A 20,296-nucleotide genomic window follows, 5' to 3' on the forward strand; every position below is an offset into this window, starting at 1 on the left:
TCATCTTTACCTTAATAGTTATCTATTGGTAAGTGGCAAGTTTAAATATTTGTGACAGAAAGAACAATAATTTAAATGATTAACAATGTTATAAGCCCCATCTGCTAAGATCAATAAGTAAATCAATGAGCAATTAATAACAATGTTAATAACTTACAAGAATTTGAAGAAAGCTAATTCTCATCTTTCTATAAACAAGCATTTAAGGAGGATTTGTTAAGCAATAGATTCAGTTTTGAGTTACATTTTTTGAAGATAATTTCCTTAATATATGATTATCATTGAAGAACATTTCAAATAATCCAGTAGAACTAAAGGGATTAAAAATAATAAGTGGAGGAAAGAATGTTTAAGTGCTTTTTTGTTGTTTCAATCTGAGGAAGGGTAGGGTATCAAAAAAGAGGTGATACAAACTTGATGAGAGATTAGGTTGCTATGATAGCATCAGACATCCCAGCTTTCACTAAAAGGATGTTACTTGGTGAAAGGAACAGAAGCAAAAAGCTGAAATCTTGCACTTATATTCTCTTAATCTGTGGACATGGGAAGCAATAATAAATGGAGAAGGCTGGAGAAACAAGGGAATTTGAGACATGAAATTCTTGGAATATGGACAATATACAAAAGTTTTGTGTTGAATGAAATATTGCATTTTATTTATTTCACATTATTCAAAATAGCGGTTTTCAGCATAGCTTCCCATATTACTGCTGGTGCTTTAAATTAAGAACAGTGAGGATATAAAAGTCTTTTTCTTAATGGTAATATATACTGAAAGGAAGTGAAGTTGAAAGGCAGAATGCATTTAAATATGGTTAGCGTTTGTGTGTGTAATCTACTGAAAAATATACTGAAATTTCACTTGTAATTGCAATCTCTCCTATAAAGGAAAATGTGCCTGTTGAAAGAGGTAATATATTCTATTTAATGTGGTACTCATTTGAGAATTCAAATATCTGAATTTTAGTCACTTTTCAGTTACTTAACTTTCCCAGTGTTTCAATTCCTGACTAGCAAGCCAGGGACGATAATATTCTTGCCTCCTGGAAACATTGTAAGGATACCTTTTTATCCTGCACAATTTAATACAAAATGTCCTAAGAAAGTATTTTTTTTTGTTGTAATTTGAAAAATATTCAAGCAATTATTGCTTGCTTACTCTTTTTTCTTTATTCCCCAAATGCATTTAACTTATTTAGCTGGAATATGGCTTACTACTTTCATTCCCATTACAAGTCTCAAACTCATTCCTTTTCCATTGTGTTTTTCTTGTTCGCCCAGCCAACTGAATGCTGCCTGTTTATTATTTGAAACTCAACACTGAATCACCCGCTCAGGAAGGGCCTGCTGCATGCCAAGCTTTTGAACAAATATGTAGGAACAGGACTCTGACTTATAGACAGTTCCTTAGCTTTACTTTAATTTTTCTTTTATTTTCACTGACAGAAAAATTTTCTGGAGAGTACAATCAAGATAGTGTATTATTAGAAATAACATTAATAGAAGCTTGGTCAGAAATGATAATAGTCATAATAAGCATCTCTCTCACCAAGGCATTCCACACAGAGAGATCACAGCACAATAAATAAAGGATTTCTCATTTGCCACACAACAAATAAAACAATTGCAGTAACAAAAATATGATTTTATAAATGTTCTTATACTAAAAATAAAAGCAAAAATATGAGATCATGCACTGGAGACAAAAGCTAAAAATGAATAGTTATAACAAAGAAAGACAATATTCCAAAAGATTAAAATGTTCAAGTATTGTGAGAGGAAAGGGGAGATTCAAAATAGAATGGGTTCAGAATAAGTCAATTATATTTACTACCTTAGGAGAGACACTGACACAACTGTTTTTATCCAGTAATATTTTATGCCATTAGAACACATACTGTTATCCATTTAAAGGACAGATTCCATTTCCTTGGAGCATGTTTCATACTACAAGGATGGAATAAAATTTATTGTTTACCATAATTATAAGTAGATAATAATATTGTGAGAGAAATATTCTCCGGAACAGGCCAGTGTGATGGCCTGGAATAGTAGGGGCCTGGGAGTCAGGAAACATTGACTTTAATTCTGTTTTCATCATTGTCTATAAAAAGTTCATTTGAGATAGTCATCTAATAAATAACCTTCAAGATATTTCTCAGTCCTGAAATAAACTTTCACTTTATCTTTCGATTTTCCTATAAGAGTTCAACTATTGGGGCTAGTAGAAAGTAGAGAAAATAACAATAAAATAGCTTAACAATTTTAATGATTCTTAATTTCTAAAAAGTTATTGAAAAAAAGTGGGATCACTTAATGGAATTAAGAATTGTATAATGCTTCAGTGGGGTTGTTCATACAACATAATAATTCTTCCCCAACAAAACTAATCTAAGCAGTGCCTTTACACTTTGTGGTTGAATAGTGTATCAGATTTGAACAGTGGCTAGTTTCTACACGACTAGGAAAAACATGTCTGTCATGGGAGTAAAAAAATAAAATTTGTTTGTTAAATTACACATAAATATAAGGTACAAATGTATTTTTAAAATACAGATTAAAATAATCACACTTGCATTGTGTACATACGAAAATACAGTATTTAATATTCAATATACACAGACACATTTATGATAAATGCAACTATTTGGCAATGCCAGTTCTTTCAGGGTTTTTTGTTGTTGTTGTTGTTCCCTATTTCCATATACATGGAAACAAAAATGCTTCGCTAAAATCTCCTAGCTCTGGCGGACATCTTGAAGCAGTTTGTTAATCTCTGCCACCAGTTCACTGGCATCCATGAGTTCGTGTTTCCCATCATTGAGGTGGTTGAGCACATTGTCAAAATCATCTTCCTCATAATTTTCAGGGATCTCCTCCATGGCTGGCAGCCATTTTGAAGAAGGCTGCACACTGGAGTGAGTTCCAAGTGGCGGCCCACAGTTGGTGGTGGGATTTTGAAAATGCGTACTGGCTGCCCATGCCGCTACCCCCTGTGGGTAACCCACAGTTTTGGCTGGCAAGGGTCCCTTCCTGCGCTCCAGGGAGTTGGACCGATCCACCTCACTGCATTCAGAATAGGTGTCCAGGGAAGGCGGTAAGAGACGCTGGAACACACTGCTCATTTCCGAGAGCAGAGATGATGTGCTGGTATCCCCAGTGTCCTCATCGTTTGGGGAGTCCTTTCCAAAGGTGGAAAAACTCTTCTTCTTTTCACCGGAATCTGCAGGCTGAGCGTCATCCTCAAGACTCTGATGTGGATGCTGCTGCTGGGGTTGCGTTGGGAATTCTTCCCCTGGAATGAACATGTTACTCCTATAATCAGAAGACGGTGAGGGCAGTGGTGGCATCCAGCACTGGTCAGAGTGTCCCAGGACCCTGCACTCCTCCGTGCAGAGTCTCATAGCTGCACTCAAGAAAAACAGTGGGGATTCATTATTATACTTAGCACGATTCAAAATGATGCAAAAATGCAATTTTATAATAAAAATAGAATGAGACAATTTTAAACTATTTCCATGATGCCAACCTATTATTATACACAAAAGCTGGACTACAATTATGGCTTTAATTTGAACACTGGTTTTATAGACCTCCATAAGTGTTATCTTCTGGTGTGCTTTTTTTTCCTTATTGATCAGGTAAGAATATTCTGCTACTTGAATAATGATAAGATGGGTTGATAAAGTATACGTGGGAAGAACTAGGTGTGAGTGATGAAATAAGTGCTGAACATAAATTCTAAAGAACAGACTTGTAAGGTGAAACCTATAACTTTAGAATGCCACCCATTAATTCTTGTGTAATACATACCTTTGTGTAACTTTCTCAATATTACTTTAGTTTTAATGGAAGCAATGAGAATATAATAAGCTATAAGGTAATTATACTTATTAATCTCTCTTAAAGATATTACAAATTATTTATTGACTTGTTACTTAACACAGCAGTGAAAAGTATCCTCAGCTACTGGATGGCCATCTGCAATTACCCTGTTAAGAAGTTTTCTTTTAAAGATTCAAAATATATTTATATTCAAATATGTGAAAAATGTCATCAAAAGATGAAGAATATGAAAAATCCATTCCTTAGGTCTTACAGATGTTCTAATGCTCTTATGGGAATATGAGTGGCCACAGTCATAGGAAAAAAAATAGATGATATGAGAAAAGCAGGAAAATAAAGAGGAAAAAACCCCTCTACATTTGGCAAATACAATAACTAAGCTGCATGACAAGGAAATGAAAAGATGTAAAATACACTCTACAAACCATTGACTTATTTCAGTGAGAAATAAGGCTGTTCAGTATTATGATTTCATTTTAGAGCAAAGAGCAGAATGCAGAAAATGCAAAATAATTCTCTTAGATTTAAAAGAACATTAGGTTGTTACTAGCTATACTTATATATTAAGAGCTAATTTTGTAGATCCATCTACTTTAGGAAGATTCCTCTTCCTCCCAAATTATTGCTAAAAAGGTGACTCTTGAAGGATGCCCATTCCCTTATTAGAGGAAACAAGTTGTCTATTGCAGTTACTGCGGTGTCACTAGCAACTGGTAAAGTGCCTGCATACAGTAGGTATTCACTACATGTTTTCTAAATAAAACATGGAGAAAATAATGTTGACTTTCTGAAAAAAAAGAAGTAATGGTCTTTGATTGAAGGCGTAGAAATTGCTGCTTTTCTCTGCTTGAATCTTTGAGATAATTCTGTTCTTAAACTGCAAGAGTCCCAAATATGGACCTCAAGTTTTAATGAAAAGGAGGATAATTTGAGGAATAAAATGAGATCAAGTATTATGAGTGAGAAAAAAGCTGAATCACTAGAAAACTAGAAATACAATGAAGCAGAAAAAAAGTGGAGAAAGTGTCAACACCAATTCCATGTGAATCAAGGTGGGGAAAGAGAAAGAGCGTAAGCATGAAGAAAAATTGTGCAATTTGTTATGAAAGGTTACATTTAAATAAGCAAGAATGATTTAAGAATAAAAGCTTTTTTAGATTTCCTGACTTCATGCAGTATTACTACTTGGAAATGTTTACCAACTTTTTTTTTTTTAATTTGATGTGGATGAAACAAAAGGGGTTGAAAGTAATTGGAATAACTTAATAGCAATGAGGTTTTCTCAGCAGCAAAATAACAATCATAGTGGTAATGATTTTTTTTTTCCTTCTTAATTCCGCAGGTCTCTGAAAATGGAACTTAGACCTGTCTCTATTGTCTTACTCATATCCTGTCAGAAGGAAGAAGAACAGACCTGCTGACACCTCTTCATTTATTTCATTTAACTCTGTAGTTTTAGGCTTGGGAAGGACTTAGTTGTTTGATTCACTTTAGTTTAATGCTTAATGATTGGAGGGAAAGGAAAGGCTTGTAAGAATACTGAAAATGACCTAGTTTTCTAAAGACCTAAATATAATAAACATATAACCAACAATACAATGCAAAAATACAATCTAGGTAACTAATGCAATCTGAAAGTTCATGCTCAAAAATAAGTTTGGTCATAGAAATTTTTTAAACAGTGAATGTTATTTGCAACTTCATCCCAATAAATAAGTGAAGCTTTAATTATAAAATAATAAATTAACTTAAAAATGAAAAGTAATAAGAAAAATTGATGAGAAAAGACTAATGGAGGGAAGGATGGCAAAAATAAGAGAAATGGAAGAGTAACGGTGCAGAAGAGGGCATTTCTTGCAACCTCATTGATATTGTCAACCTTGTCCCCAGGGACTTGACTGAAAACATTCTCAATCTGTAAGTAATTCAGTGCCACAAATGTTCCATACTATATCCCAGTTAGCAGGGCTTGTTGACAAGTGGTGCAAGTGGCTAATCTTTCTGTTGCTCCTTGAAAGCTCTTATAGGTAGTTAAGTGTCCTCTGGGGAGGGGGACCATGGTGAAAGGAGAGTATCTTCTTCACCACTATAAGACTATGAATTTTGTCACTGCACTGCACCTTATTGGTGGGACAGGCAGCAGATATATAAGAAGAAATACGTATGCCTTGCTTCTGTCAAGTCATCAGGTGATCAATCAGTTATCCGTTATGAGTCTGCTGCATGTGAAGTGCAACAATAGCACCCTGCCCTCAAAAGTTGTAAAAAGATATAGCTCTAAGTAAAGTGTAGCAAGTGACATCGTAAACACAGGTAAAGTGTCAAACTAGATGATGCTAAGGGCATGTCAAGAAAGGAAAAAAGAGTGGAGGTGGAAGCTGAAATAGTTAAAGAAAGAGCCACCTAAAACAAACTTTGAAAGATGAATAGGATTCAGTTACACAAAGTGATGAGAAGCCAGCTTTTCAGGTAGGAAGGACACCATGAGCAAAGCATCAGTGTATTAAGTGAGGAGATGCTTCTAGCTATAACAAAAGATACAAAGATGGCAACATATGAGAGTTAATAAGCTAAGAGGGGATTCCATTGCCCTTTGAATGCCAAGATAAATAGTTTAGTTCAATGTTGCTGGGCAACAAGAGTTAAGTATTGATTTTGAGCCAAAAAATGTGGATTAAAATGTTCTCAAAATGTTGTTCAAGCTGTATGAAAGAAAGATTTGACAAAGGGAGGAGCTACTAGACAGTGAATATCAGTTTGCACACTGACACACTAAACCTGTCATGGAAGAAAGGCCAGAACAGATGGGCTTTCGTGGATACCTGCCATGAGAAAGGACAGAACATAGAATTTAAAAAGAATATTTAAAGTAAGTAATCAGAGACGACAGACTGATGAAAAGTGGATTGGACTCAATCAAGAAAAATGAGCGTCACAAGAAACAAAATCAAACGGCTGTATAAATCATCCTGGTGAAGTGAATGCAATGGAAAATGGGGATTTTTGCAGGCATATGCTTAGTGTTATAGTTCAAAGTTGAATGAGTAAGAAAGTATGTTGGCAAACATGAGCCAACAGACAAAAAAATGCATACCAATTTGACTGCTCAAAATGCAGGATATTTGTGTGGGAATTAATAGCATGAATGACCAGAAATGACCCTGTTGGCAGGCAATGCAACATAACATAATCTATATTTGTTCAAAGTCTAAGGCAGAAAAACAGTTGGAACAAGACACTTTAGTCCTAGAAATATAAATGCTATGGAAACTGTGCTGATCTCTTTTAATGGCATTCAGATGTGGACTTACATTTTTCTCTACTTGGGATATTTTCTGGGAATATAAATTTACAAAACACAAGTTTTACACCCTATTATGCCTCCAGAAGTTGCTGGGGTAAATAATAAATTGGAATATGTGTCATCAAAATTATACTCATAAATAAGGGATAGTTATCTTTGTATAGATACACAGTATGCATATTGCAGTCTACAGTAGCCAAACATGAATATACTTTGCGGACCATTGGTGACTTCCTGGTGCTCGATACCTCCAGGATAGCTTTGACCACACCTCAGATGGAGGCAGGTACCTAGTAAGGCAGAATTGTATCTACTATAATGTATTTTGTTGTAACACAATGTTATGCACAAGCAAAATAACTCTCCAGCCACACCCATGGTTAAGTGTGATTGTGCAAATATGAGATTTTTTTTTAAAAATTGTCTCATGTTAAGTGGAATTATTAATGATGATATAAAGGTGAACTCCTAATTTTGAAAAGAAATGTGATACTGATGAAGCTTAACGTCACTCACTAAACACAATTCAGTTTTCTACAGTTTATCTATGTCTACCTATTGTTTCGCCAGTGTCTTTATTCCTTAACATCTATTATTATTATTGTAATTATTATTATTATTATTTACTCCAAGTGCTAGAAAACTTTCTTGCCACAAACTTACGTGGAGGTGGCAACTTAGAAAATATAAGAAAAAGTAAAAGAACTTTGACCTAAAAAAAACTTTATAATTAGCTATTAGATTTCTACAATTTCAGAATTAAAAGGGACTTTAGGATCATTTAATCCCCAAAATACCAAGGTTATGTAATTAGAGCAGCTATTCAGTTAAGTATGCTGATAAATTTAAATTTCAATGAATAAACATTATACAAATCTAAAAATATATAATACAATATTGATGTCATGCCCACTATGTTACTTTTCTGTTTAATGAAATGAAATTACATTATTTAAAATCAAGGATTAATACTCAAAATTAGGGTTCTGTCAGGATCACAGAATTGTAGTTTAGCCAACTCCTTTATTACACAAGTACGAATAAGAAAACTGATTCTCTTTGAGCAAAGTGTCTGATTCTAAATATATTCCACTAAATTTTCAGAGATTTCTCTTCAAATTGGTCAAGAAAGTCTATGCATTAAAAACAAAAACAAAAAACAGACACCATGACTGTGCAAACAGGCTCTCAGGTACACGGCATGCCTTATTGTCTCTCGAAGTCCCCCCCATACGTTCATCCTGTGAGATATATTATAGCATCTATTACTGTGATAACAGAATTAAATAATCAACATTTAATAGTTATGGGGTATGTCATAAGTCTTTAGAACATAAGAACAATGAGGACACTCTACTTAAAAACAATTACTACCACAACAAAAACCTGTTACTTCACATACTTGATAGATTAGTGTTTAAGAGTGCAGGGATTGGTCCAAATCTCACTCTCCCATGTACAAACTGCCTGATTTGAGATGCATTTTCTAACCTTTATAACTTTCAGTTTCCAAATCTTAAAAAAAAAAAAAAAAAAAAAATAGAAGCCTGTTACTACTGTCACTACTACTAATTCCTGCCAAAGCCTTAGGAGAGGCAGTGCAGGTATCAAACTCTGCATGAGCCTGGAGTAAACCTGGGGGCATAGTTGGTAACTACTATTGCTACTACTATTCCTAATATTAATACCGCTCTGGCTACTGCCATCACTACTTCACTTATGAGTGCTCGAGTTTCTATTCACAGTGGTCCTTTGGTATCCAAAGGGGATTGGTCCAGGCCCCCTGTGGATATCAAAATTGGGTTGCTTATATAAAGTGGTATGGCAGTTATATACAGCCTACGCACATCCTCCCAAATACTTTAAATCTTCTCTAGGTTACTAAAAATACCTAATAAATGTAAATGCTATGTAAATAGTTGTTATACTGTATTGTTTTTTATTTGTATTGTTTTTTATTGTTGTATTGCTATTTTTTATTGTTTAATCCAAATACTTTCAATTAACAGTTGGTTGAATCTATGGATGTGGAACCTGCTGATACGGAATGTCAGCTATATTGATTTTCTTGAATTCCTGTAGCTGTCTGAGGCTCCCTCATGTTTATTTCCTAAACTCTCTTACTTATCTGTATTCAAAAATAGAGGTGCGATGAAACTAAGATGGGTGATATTGTGTTGTTCTATCTTTCATATATCAAATGGCAGTCAATGATCCACATTCAGTGAAACTTGGAAATATAGGTAGCCAAAAGAACACACGTATTCCTAAGGTTGATTTAATATTGCAGTCTTTAGTAGTGGGGCTGCTAGGATAATATAATCAGTATTTAGTCAGTTCAGAGAGTTCCTATTGCAGAATTAGAGGGAAGGAACTCCAAGGAAAACGTGGTTCGAAACTTAATAGCATCTCTTCTATCTAGCTGTGTACTTAAAAATTCCACTCTTGGGTCCCTGTGCCTCTTCTACTATAGCAAAATGAAATGTTGGCAAAAATATTCTGTGCTTACCACCTACAAAGATGCATTCCTTCTCCTATTTTTAATGCTTGAAGTGTACAATTTCCAGTGTATTTTAGTCTCTGATTTTGTGAGTTGGTGCCCATCACAGGAAATGCATCCTCCAAATTACAGTCCGGTTCACCACTCTGCGCCAAAACAGTTTAACTGAATAAAAACCACCACCCAATAATTTTGCAAAGAGTTACACAACCGTGTTCTATGGCTGTATCGGATGAGGTGGAAAGAGGGGGAAAGTGTTTGTTTTTTTGATTTTTCCCCACCCCTTTCTTCTTGTCCTATGAAGCTGTCATGCTTACTCGTTCTCTTCCAACCGCTTAATGAAATTTAAGAAAACAGTGTTAAAATGTTTCAGTTTCTGTTCATTACTAAACAGTGATGAACATACTATAAAACATATTATAAATACTTTAGTGCAAGGGACAAATAAAGAAGAAATATAAGCATGAGAGAAATTTTTCATTTTACTGGTGTCACGGTAGACCTGAAAATAAAGATTTTCTATCACTACCCTCTTACCTGCTGGAATTCTTCCATCTGTGAGAAACAGGTCGCTGAATCCTTCACCCAACAGCCTATCTATTGGAGAATCTCGCCCCAAATCATAATCACTGTCTCCTGCCTCACTGTCACCACGGCCACTGTCTTTCAAGCTAAATTTGTCCATGTCTTGAAGGGCATATCTGGAAAGATAAATCACAAAAAAAAATTACAGTTTTTACTCTTCAGCATTTATGTTGAAACTTAATAGGTAACACAAGAATAATTCATACCTGTAGCTCCTGGAATATTTGTTTCCTCGAAAACTTGGTCTTGGCTGATATTGCCCCTGGTGAAGCATTGAAAGAAGCTGAGAGACCTGCTGGAAACCAAATAGACAGAACTGATTCCCGGAAACAAGCCTCCAAACACTCACAATCTTTAAGCAAGAAAAACAGTTGCTTGCTATTTCAACTAAGTAATTGAATATATTCTCTCTATTTAAAAGATTTGCAAATGCTGGACTGTGGCGGACCACGCAGCCAGCTACCAACTATAACTAAAATATATCTCAGAGAGATTTGGATGACCTAATACAACTGACTTTTACTTTGTGAAAGAAGACTCCCTTTCAAATAACTGATTTATTTTCTTTATAATTCAGACAAAGTGACCACCTGTAAAAATACATGGAAAATACTGTAAAATACAACACTGCAATGCATGTAGTTTAAAAAATGTCAGGAAATCTTCCAAACTTGGACAAACATAGCATGCATTGAAATAGAAGTCTGAAGGCCTCAGTTTTTTTATTTGTTCAGTAAAGACTATAACCTTGAAAATAAAGCAAGTCTCTACTTTTTGGCTTCCCATTATTTTAATCTGGGAAGCAAGGGGACTCTAATTACATAGTCCTTTGTGACCTTCACATTTATTTTTCAATATTACACATATTATATGAAGTTATTTACTTAAGGAAAACTAAAAACAGTATGCTAAAGTGTGCATCTTTGCTACATATTCACAATGTAACTTGTATCCTACTTAATTTGCACAGTATTAGTATTGTTACTTATTAATGAAAACATTTAAGAACTAGTAAACACAATTCCTGAACACTAACACCTAACATTGCAATGAATTGATGCGGTTTATGATCTTACCTCAACAGCAGGAGTGGCGTGGGTGAGTTCTAATGAGAAATTCTCTGGCACGTGGTTTGATGAGATTGTCACCAAACTGTTGAGTGACTGGTGACTGTTGTGACTCTGCCGGCTGCCCATCTGCCCTCTTTCTAAGGTAGGAGATGAAGATGGAGACGATCTGTGATGAGATCTGATGGGCAGAGTGCCATTTATGGTAGGCACCAATGTGATGTCCCCTTTGTGAATCTGCCGGGATGGCCTTTTTGGGTGGTGCTGGTAAGTTGATTCGGCCACCCTGCAGTTATAGGATCTAGTGTCTTTCTTCTCGCGGTTACACCTAGTTGCAAATAGCACCATAATAACCAGCAACACTGCACAAATTGCTCCTAAGGAAATAATTATTATCATGGAGACATCCAAGGATGCCTGGCTTACTGAAGTCATTGCTGTACTTGTCACCGACTCTGCATATTCAAAGATCATGCACTTCAGAAGGACTTTGGTATGTAGCTGAGGATTGCCTTTGTCCTGAATGATAACTGACAGCTCCCATTCTGTGTAGGGAACAGAATCCATGCTAACGTTGGTATGGATGTCACATGATCGTGGATCAATTATGAAGATATTCTCCTCATTACCTGCTACTATGGCGCAGCTGAGTTCAGCATTCACACCAGAGTCTCTGTCAATTGCCCTTATTCTTGTGACATGAAAGCCACTTTCAGCCCCTTTGGGAATGGTGATTTCTGCCGTATTATTACGCAATGCAGGCCCTATAACCACAGGAACGTTGTCATTTTCGTCAATGATGGTGAGCACAACTGTGGTATTGCTTACCAGTTGCTTCGGGCTTCCTCCATCTCTTGCTTCTACCACAAAAGTGATCTGACTCACTTCTTCATGATCAAAGATTCTGAGGGCATAGATGGCTCCATTAGATGGGTCAATGGTTACATATGTAGTTATGGAACTTCCTAGAATAAAACTCTCCAAGATGGTGTATGTCACTTGCCCATTTTCTCCAAGATCAGGATCTGTGGCTGTAACAGTGGTGATATATGCCCCTGGTGAGTTATTTTCTGAAATTACAAATTCATATCGGCTTCTCTGGAAGTGGGGTGGATTGTCATTGATATCATTGATTTGAACTGTAAAATGTTTCACTGTAGAGAGACTGGGTGTCCCCCTGTCCTCAGCGATTACAGTCAAACTATACTCAGATCTCTTTTCTCTATCCAGTGTGGCATTAGTTAAGATTAAATAATTGTTTTCATATGTCTTCTGAAGTTTAAAGTGACCATGTCCATGAAGCTTACAAACTATTTCTCCATTCAGCCCAGAATCCTTGTCCTGAACTCTGACCAAAGCAACAAATGTATCAATAGGATCCCCTTCAAAAATATAAGATATTTCTTCTTTTCCAGGGGACATGAGGTTGATGTTAATTTCAGGTTTATTGTCATTAACATCCACAACCTTAATTATAATTTTGCAATGGGCTGGGATTGAATTTGGACCCAAATCTTGAGCCTGAACATCAATCTCATAGGATTTGGTGATTTCATAATCCACTTGCTTGAAAAGAGTCAAATGTCCTCTTTCAGAATCAATTTTAAAAGTCTCCATAATTTTGGGAGACACATGACTGCTGAAGGAATATACAATTTTCCCATTAGCGCCCTCATCTGGATCCGTGGCATTCAGATCTAAGAGCAAAGTGCCAACCGGGGAGTTTTCTAAGAGTTGTATTATATAAGATTGCTGCTCAAAAGCAGGGCTGTTGTCATTGGAGTCTGAAATGCTTATTTTTAGTATGGATGAGCCAGACCTCTGAGGTACTCCCATGTCTGAGGCAGTGAGCTGAAGCTCGTAGCTTGACTTCAGCTCCCGATCTAACTCTCTGACCACTATGAGTTCTGCATACTTGGCTCCATCAGTCCTGGTCCGAACCTCGATATTAAAAAAATCATTGGCAGAGAGCGAGTATGTGTGGAGGGAATTTTCCCCAACATCTGGATCAAATGCACTGTCCAGGGGAATGCGAGTCCCAACTGCTGCACTCTCAGATATCTCAATAGGTATGAGAGATCTTGAAAACTGGGGAGAATTGTCATTAATATCCAGCACTTCAACTTCAATATGGAAAAGCTGCAGATGCTCTGTGGGTAGAGTGATCACATCAAACTCTATGGAACAGTTCAAGTTTTTCTGGCACAGTTGTTCACGGTCAATTGTAGCCCCTATGCTGATTTCCCCATTATCCTCGTTTACTACAAGTAGAGGAGAATTTCCCCTCTGCATGGCTCGAAATCGAACAGTAGAAGGATTAGGAAGCTTCAATAAAACATCAGCCACATCCTCTGATAGTCTTGCAATTACTGATCCAACCCTCTGTTCCTCATAAATCCTGTATTTCAAATTCTTGCCCAGTACATCGTGGTTGAAAGATACTATCAGAAGTGCAAAAACAAACCTAAAGTGCATTTTAGCATTCATTTGGTGCATTGGTCAGTTTATGAGATTTCCCTCACAGAGCAAGTTAAAACAGCAAAGCAATTGCCTCAACTTCCTTTGGCAACGTAAAGCTACATTTGGTACTTGAAACTTGAAAGCGTCTCTTAATAACACAGCACAGCAATTAACAGCTCGCAAACTTTTGTTTTATACACACCGTGTCACGACTTCCAGATACCTTCGGCATGGAGTCCAGTCCTTGCGTTTGTTTGGTCGTTCGTCCTCTTTCCAGGCAGGAGAGTGTCACCTCCGCGTTTTCTCCCTTGTGTAGTCGGAATCCATCTATTGCAGGGTGCCGGTGGAGTCTGCAGTGTGTCTTTCCTGAGCGATTCTTTCTCCCTTTAGCTGCTCGGCTGCAGACTAAACACCCGTGATTGCTGACTCCAGTCTAAAATCTGTACAACTTCACTTCAACTCAGACAAAGCTCTTGCCCAGCGTGTGTTGAATCGCTTCCAGCCAATCAGCGTGCTTCCAAATCAAAAGCTGATGGAGTCACCCAAGGAGGGAGGGCGAGAGTGGAGGGTGGGAGAGAGAAAGAGACGGAGAAGGAGGAAGGCGGGGGTGGGTGCGCGAGGGAGAGAAGGGGAGATGGGCTGGTGGGGGCTGGGGGAGGAGATGGGAGCCAGTCCTTCCCTGTTCCTTCCTTCTTCCTCCCCACTCCCCCTCCGCCTTTCAATCTACTGCATTCACTTTCTCTGAGCGTGCCATGACAAAGGGGAGACAAATTACAGAAGAAAAACTTTAAATCAACTTCTGGTCGCCTTTATTTATATGGCACGTTAAATTCTTCTTGTTTTCTTAATTGCCCTTTCTTCTGCCACAGACATGTAATCATCTTGCTTTTCATAGTCCTTAAGTGCTAGTTTAACTTAAAATACCTCTAAGTGCGTTTTGTTGGTGGAGGAATTTAATACAATTTGAAAACTTGCTTCTAATTATGCTTCTCAGACCACCTCCTTCCCCACTCCCTCTGTAAATACTTGGGCCTTTCTCCTTCCAGGAGCACAAGCAGATTTTCTTGGGGCTCTGTTTTTAAAGAACGGAGCAAGTAAAGAGGTTTCATTTTCTGTTTTCTTTCATCTTTATTCTTTGAAGATAAAAAAAGGGCTATCTTGCACTCTTCATTTCTCTTAATTAGCAAGACTTAAGGGAACACCTCAGAATTTGGAACTAATTAACAATATAGTTCTACCTTGTATGATTTCTTTCCTTGAGTTTGGGCAAAATTGTTTGTAATATTTCTTTGTCCTGTACTTCAAAAAAATCCTATTTATCTTGGGTAAAAGACACTGCAAGCTTTAGCATGCCAATTTCTACCAAAAGGCACTATCTATACATGGCTAGTCTTTGCAGTGAATACAGGGGGGACATGGACTCAATAGTTTACAAGTCAAATTTTTATAATATATGCATTATTTATGAAAACACTTCAGATATGTATTTTAAAAACCCCAAAGGTTGTTTACACTGACAAATCAAATGCCTGAGCTGAAAATTGCATTTTGTATGCATCAAAATGCTAGGAAATATCATGGGAGGCTTGTGCTCTATCCAGGTCACAGAAACTGATACGGTATTCTTATTTGAAAATATGATTATTTATGATGTTCTTTCTGCTCTGCAATTCCTTTTAAGTTTATCATCGTGGCTCCATTTTTGCTGCTTTTTTTCATACCTTTTTCCTTATTCCTCAGCTGTCTTCATCCGCTTGCATATTTGCTGTTTCACAGAATGTCATTGTCACTTTTTTCCATTTATTTTTTCTCACTGTCTATTTTGCCCCCCAGAAACATATAAAAAAAGTAATTTTCTGATTTTTCCACTTTGCTTACTCTCAGCAGAGCTCAGCTAAAGTCACTAAGAAGGCTCTTTCCAAAAAAGAAAGCAGAGGAGTCTCAGCGTGAATTCTCCTTCTTTTTAGGCATTCAAAAGCATTTTATAAGCCATTGTCTTTTTTTCCCCCTCCTGAAATCAGTGCTGTGTGGCAAATTGTGCAGAATAGAAATGCCTATAATGAATGTATTTAGTACTGGGTCACGCTGATGAACATTCTGCCCCCATGAATAATACTGTTTTACAAGTTTGTAGCCCTTTCAAATTGCTGATCCCCAAACCCTATAGGCAAACTAGGAAAACTACCACAAGCAAGGGGGACTTTAGAAACCCATAGCCATCTGGCCTAGATCTCTAACAATCTGAGCCAATAATTATATCAATTCAGGCTTTAGCGAACCCCTTTGCAAACACCAAAAGAGCAAAGAAAGGAATTAGTGACTATTCAAAGTTGGGGTGAGAATTCAAAGGTAACCTAATTCCATTAGTTCTAGGAAAATTTTCTTTCAGAATTTGATAAGTCTACCCCCCAAAAAACTTCAAGAGCAATCGATTTGATTACCTTGATACGGATTTTTTTTATGCTTAAAAAGTAAAAATAATAAAAAGCTCTTTTATTTCTGACAGTGGGCTTGAACAGAAATAATCATTGTGAAAAAGAGCTTCACTGTAACTTACTGAAATATTAAATAACTTGTAAAATAATATATCCTCCAAAATGATATGTTTCTATGAGTAAGTATTTAAAGAACTTGGCATTCTTTCACCAACAGTGGCTTTTTTCACTTGCAATATCATCCTTACCACATATTATTTCCTTTTCAGCTTCCCAATCTCTTCCTGAGAAGTCACATGTATCTACTCAAAAGTGATGTGCTTTCGATTTATCCTTGTTATGCACTGATCTGTTCTTTATGTTTTTTTCCCCAAAAGTACAGAATTAAAAATAAATCTTTTCTTTGTAATATTGTATCACTAGTTCTAACAATTTAAATTTTCCTCATTTGGTATCCCTGAAAAGATAACATAAAACTATCTCCCAAACTATTTACTATCCATGAAAGGGTTTATATCAGGGGAGAAAAACTGATAAACTTCTATTAGCTGTTATCTAATGATGACCTGGTTGAACTTCATCCTTCTGGAATTTGATGAAGTCATGAAAAAGGGGTAGACCCTCTAAAACAACTTCAGATAACCAGTAAGGGAGAGTTGATTGAATGTTTCTTAAAGTCCACCCTCTTTTGATATGGCAGTCTTTGTTGCCAAAGAAAGGAAGTGGGTCCTCTTGAAGACTGTGCCCTCTTGAGTGATGTTAAGCACAGCAGCAAAGTGCTTCTAAGCTTCTAGAGGCAAATCGCAGATACATCCATCCTGTTGTGCATATTTTATCTATGAAGCTCCTTTTACCACTTCAGTTTAATTGGGCAGAAAACTGCTAAACCTAGATAAAAGATATCAACCGGCATTTACAATACATCCTTTCACCTCTAATAACACTTTCACCATGCCATTTACTTTTATTACTTTTGTTCTAAGGAAAATTAAGCTTTATAATTCTAAATTTTGAATGATTTTGTTCCTATTCAAGAGGAAGGAAAACATAGAACTCAATTGTAAGGCTCAAATTTATCTGCATTACATGAAGCAAAGTGTCTCTTTTGGTACTGGAATACAAGATGAAAGTCACTAAAATTCCTTACACGCAGATATGTATTTTGTTTTTTGATTTTTTGCTATTAATTTATATTTTATTAGAGCATATGAGATTAAAAGGTAGGTTAATAAATATTCACTTTTATCTCACTATATGTCAAAATAATGGCGTGAGACTTACAATCTTCTGATTGATTGGTATAGTTCACAATCTTTCCTCACAGCATTTGTTGTGAAACATAGAAGAAAATCATGGTCCTGCTTGGCACCATATGGCTGTAACAAGCTTAAATAATTACTCTGCATCCTGGGAAATTAGGGACAAAGGCTTTTCCAGACAAAGGTTAGTAAAGTTAAGGAATTCCAAGACTATAGACCTGCTTAAGATAAAGAGCTTGCTTGGCTTTTTGTATGAGCCCAACAACTGTGGGTACCACCAGTTGGCAGTTATGTAATCCTGGACAAATTATTTAACTTCTCTGCAAATGTATAATCCTCCATGAGGTGGGAGTAATAATTTACTCTAAAAAATTCTTTTAAGAATTTCGATGACTGGGGCTTTCCACAAAGGCTGGCCCAGTAAACACACAACAAAGGTTAGTTTCCTTTTCTTAACCTGTGTGTGTCTGTTTTCCTCCTAACATTCATTGAAGAAGAACAAAATGTGGATTATAGCCGCAGAACTTGGTACTTCTCAGACTTTTGGTTTAGATGCATACATAATTTTATGTTGAAAAGATAAAGCTCTCTTCATCTTGACTTATAAAGGTCACCTGTGAAACATAATTGACAAAAATAATAGTATTGAACTGTGATGGTCTTGAAAACTTGCTGCTTTCCTGAATAAAATTCCAATACCTACCAACTATACTCAACTATACCTCCAGGCCCTAAACCATAGAAACATATCTACAAATACAATTAGAAGTCTACCAGGTGTTTATTTTTCTTTTATATTTGATAGTATACACATCTACTATTTGCCTGTTCTCAAGGCTTTTGCACTAAACAGTTGTTTCTTTAAATTTCATGTGAAACTGTAGCAGGAAGACAAAAGGATATGATTTGATGTATCGTGGTAGTGACAAGGAAATATAAAATTTGTCAAATAAGATTTTTATTTAAAAACCAACCTTAGGCCTTTTGTCAATCACATTACATCTCTCTATGTTGTTCTTCCTTTATTCCATTTACTAATAGATTTAAGAATATAATAATGAAAAGTCACCAAACAATATGAACTCTTTATGAGACAAAATTTATCAACATAAGATCAAAGGTTGGGAAATGAAAATAGATCCCAAACTATCTTTAGATGTGTGTAACAGAAATAGACTTTAGTTGAATTCTGATCAAAACTGAATGTGCTAAGCACCCACAGGAGGCCCACGCACCTGGAAGCATAGCTGTGCTAGGGCTGTGAGGCAGCACAAACCAGGGGCCAAGAAGAGTTGGAGTCCGTGAAATACAGTGACAGGTGCTAGGTCAATTTTGTCTTAGTGGGCAATCAGTATTTAGGATGTTCTGCCAAAGGTAATATGCCAAGTTCCAGCAGGTGACTTAGGGTCTGGCAAAAGGCAATCTATTGAGTCCAGATGAAAGGCATGTAGGTGAGCTGCTATTCCAAACAATACGACTTCCTTCAGGACTTCCAAACAAGGCAGGTTATGAAATTCAGGATTAAAACAGGAAGAACAAAACAGGCACCTAGAAGTTCAGTGTTTTGTAAATGGGCACATACGAAAAGCCTCCTCACAATTGGAGACCAGATTGCAAAGTTAAACTAGATGGCAGCAAAATTGACTTTTAAATTGACTTTTAGGATTATTCATCTGAATTCCTTAAATTCTTTCCTTTCAGTACAGTACCTTGAGGCAAAAAACTAAGCCTACAAAGCGTCTTCCTATAGTTGCAGCTGAGAAGATTTGTGGAAATGGGTGGTGGGGAGACTAAACCCTTAGGTGACTTGAGTCTCAATTTTTAGTTTAAGCGTTGCCATTCAATGTATGGGCTTTAAAGCAGCAGCATGGGCATTAGCTGTAAGCTTGTTAGAAATGTAGAGTCTCAGACGGTACCCCAGACCTACTTAAACAAATTCTACATTTATTTATTTATTTTTTAATTATACTTTAAATTCTAGGGTACATGTGTACAACGTGCAGGTTTGTTACATATGTATCCATGTGCCATGTTGGTATGTTGTACCCATTAACTCGTCCTTTACTTTAGGTATATCTCCTAATGCTACCCCTCCCCGCTCTTCCCACCCCATAACAGGCCCCGGTGTGTAATGTTCCCCACCCTGTGTCCAAGTGTTCTCATTGTTCAATTCCCACCTATAAGTGAGAACATGCAGTGTTTGGTTTTCTGTCCTTGCGATAGTTTGCTCAGAATGATGGTTTCCAGCTTCATCCATGTCCCTACAAAGGACATGAACTCATCCTTTTTTATGGCTGCATAGTATTCCATTGTGTATATGTGCCACATTTTCTTAATCCATAAGATTTAAGTACCATCATGTCAGAAGTTGCACCACTTCATTCAGACTACTCTTCTTAGCAATGTCTCAAAATTTAATGTGCATAGGAATCACCAGAGGACCTTATTAAAATGCAGAATTTCTTGACCAACCCAAATGTCCATCAACAAATTCTGCATTTTAATAAGGTCCTCTGGTGATTCCTATGCACATTAAATTTTGAGACATTGCTAAGAAGAGTAATCTACTGAGTGAAGTGGTGAAACTTCTGACATGATGGTACTTAAATCTTATGTGCTGTGAGATTTTTCTCCTCCAGGGAGTTTAGAGATAATTGGCACATGGAGAAGATTACCAGAAAAAGGGCCAGAGCTAAGACCTCATTAATTCAAGAATATAAGTAGAAGTGATATAAGAAAACTTCTCTGTTTAGTTAAATTCACAGAAAGAGAAGGGAAATTAAGCTTCCCTCTGGATCTAAGGTTTTATAGCAGCTATCACCCAGTTTATCCATTAGGCA

The 20,296-nt window shown here is 36.5% G+C and overlaps 1 protein-coding gene across 4 annotated transcripts, besides 2 other annotated features; it reads right to left on the bottom strand.

The window, feature by feature from the left end:
- Positions 1 to 627: 627 nt before the first annotated feature.
- On the bottom strand, positions 628 to 14,204 carry PCDH18 (protocadherin 18). 4 transcript variants are annotated; one of them, NM_001300828.2, is made up of 4 exons: positions 11,312 to 14,204; positions 10,442 to 10,527; positions 10,188 to 10,351; positions 628 to 3,406 (listed from the first exon to the last, which is right to left on the bottom strand). In NM_001300828.2, the coding sequence occupies exons 1-4, from the start codon at positions 13,796 to 13,798 to the stop codon at positions 2,739 to 2,741; spliced, it is 3,405 nt and encodes a 1,134-aa protein (NP_001287757.1). In that variant the 5' UTR covers positions 13,799 to 14,204; the 3' UTR covers positions 628 to 2,738. The 4 variants fall into 4 exon arrangements, with proteins under 4 accessions (NP_001287757.1, NP_061908.1, XP_016863800.1 ...); NM_019035.5 differs by having other exon boundaries at positions 10,442 to 10,530; XM_017008311.2 differs by having other exon boundaries at positions 1,408 to 3,411.
- Positions 14,113 to 14,232: an enhancer, noted in NCBI's record as "active region_21908". NCBI's record gives its function as "activates an Ori minimal core promoter by ATAC-STARR-seq in GM12878 lymphoblastoid cells {active_cell/tissue: GM12878}" and the evidence as "EXISTENCE:reporter gene assay evidence [ECO:0000049][PMID:35858748]".
- Positions 19,239 to 20,084: an enhancer, noted in NCBI's record as "OCT4-NANOG-H3K27ac hESC enhancer chr4:138458683-138459528 (GRCh37/hg19 assembly coordinates)". NCBI's record gives its function as "activates a minimal SCP1, AML or CMV promoter by ChIP-STARR-seq in primed H9 embryonic stem cells {active_cell/tissue: H9 hESC(primed)}" and the evidence as "EXISTENCE:reporter gene assay evidence [ECO:0000049][PMID:30033119]".

Source organism: Homo sapiens, chromosome 4, assembly GCF_000001405.40.
Source record: "Homo sapiens chromosome 4, GRCh38.p14 Primary Assembly".
In the NCBI taxonomy this organism is placed as follows: Eukaryota; Metazoa; Chordata; class Mammalia; order Primates; family Hominidae; genus Homo; species Homo sapiens.

What these genes read in the sequence shown, in the direction of transcription:
- PCDH18 (NM_019035.5), bottom strand. Translation starts at nt 13,798, where the DNA reads ATGCACCAAATGAATGCTAAAATGCACTTTAGGTTTGTTTTTGCACTT. An exon ending in AAATATTCCAGGAGCTACAG is followed by an intron (nt 10,352 to 10,441) that starts GTATGAATTATT and finishes TTATCTTTCCAG; the next exon opens with ATATGCCCTTCAAGACATGG. An exon ending in AGATGGAAGAATTCCAGCAG is followed by an intron (nt 3,407 to 10,187) that starts GTAAGAGGGTAG and finishes TCTTGAGTGCAG; the next exon opens with CTATGAGACTCTGCACGGAG.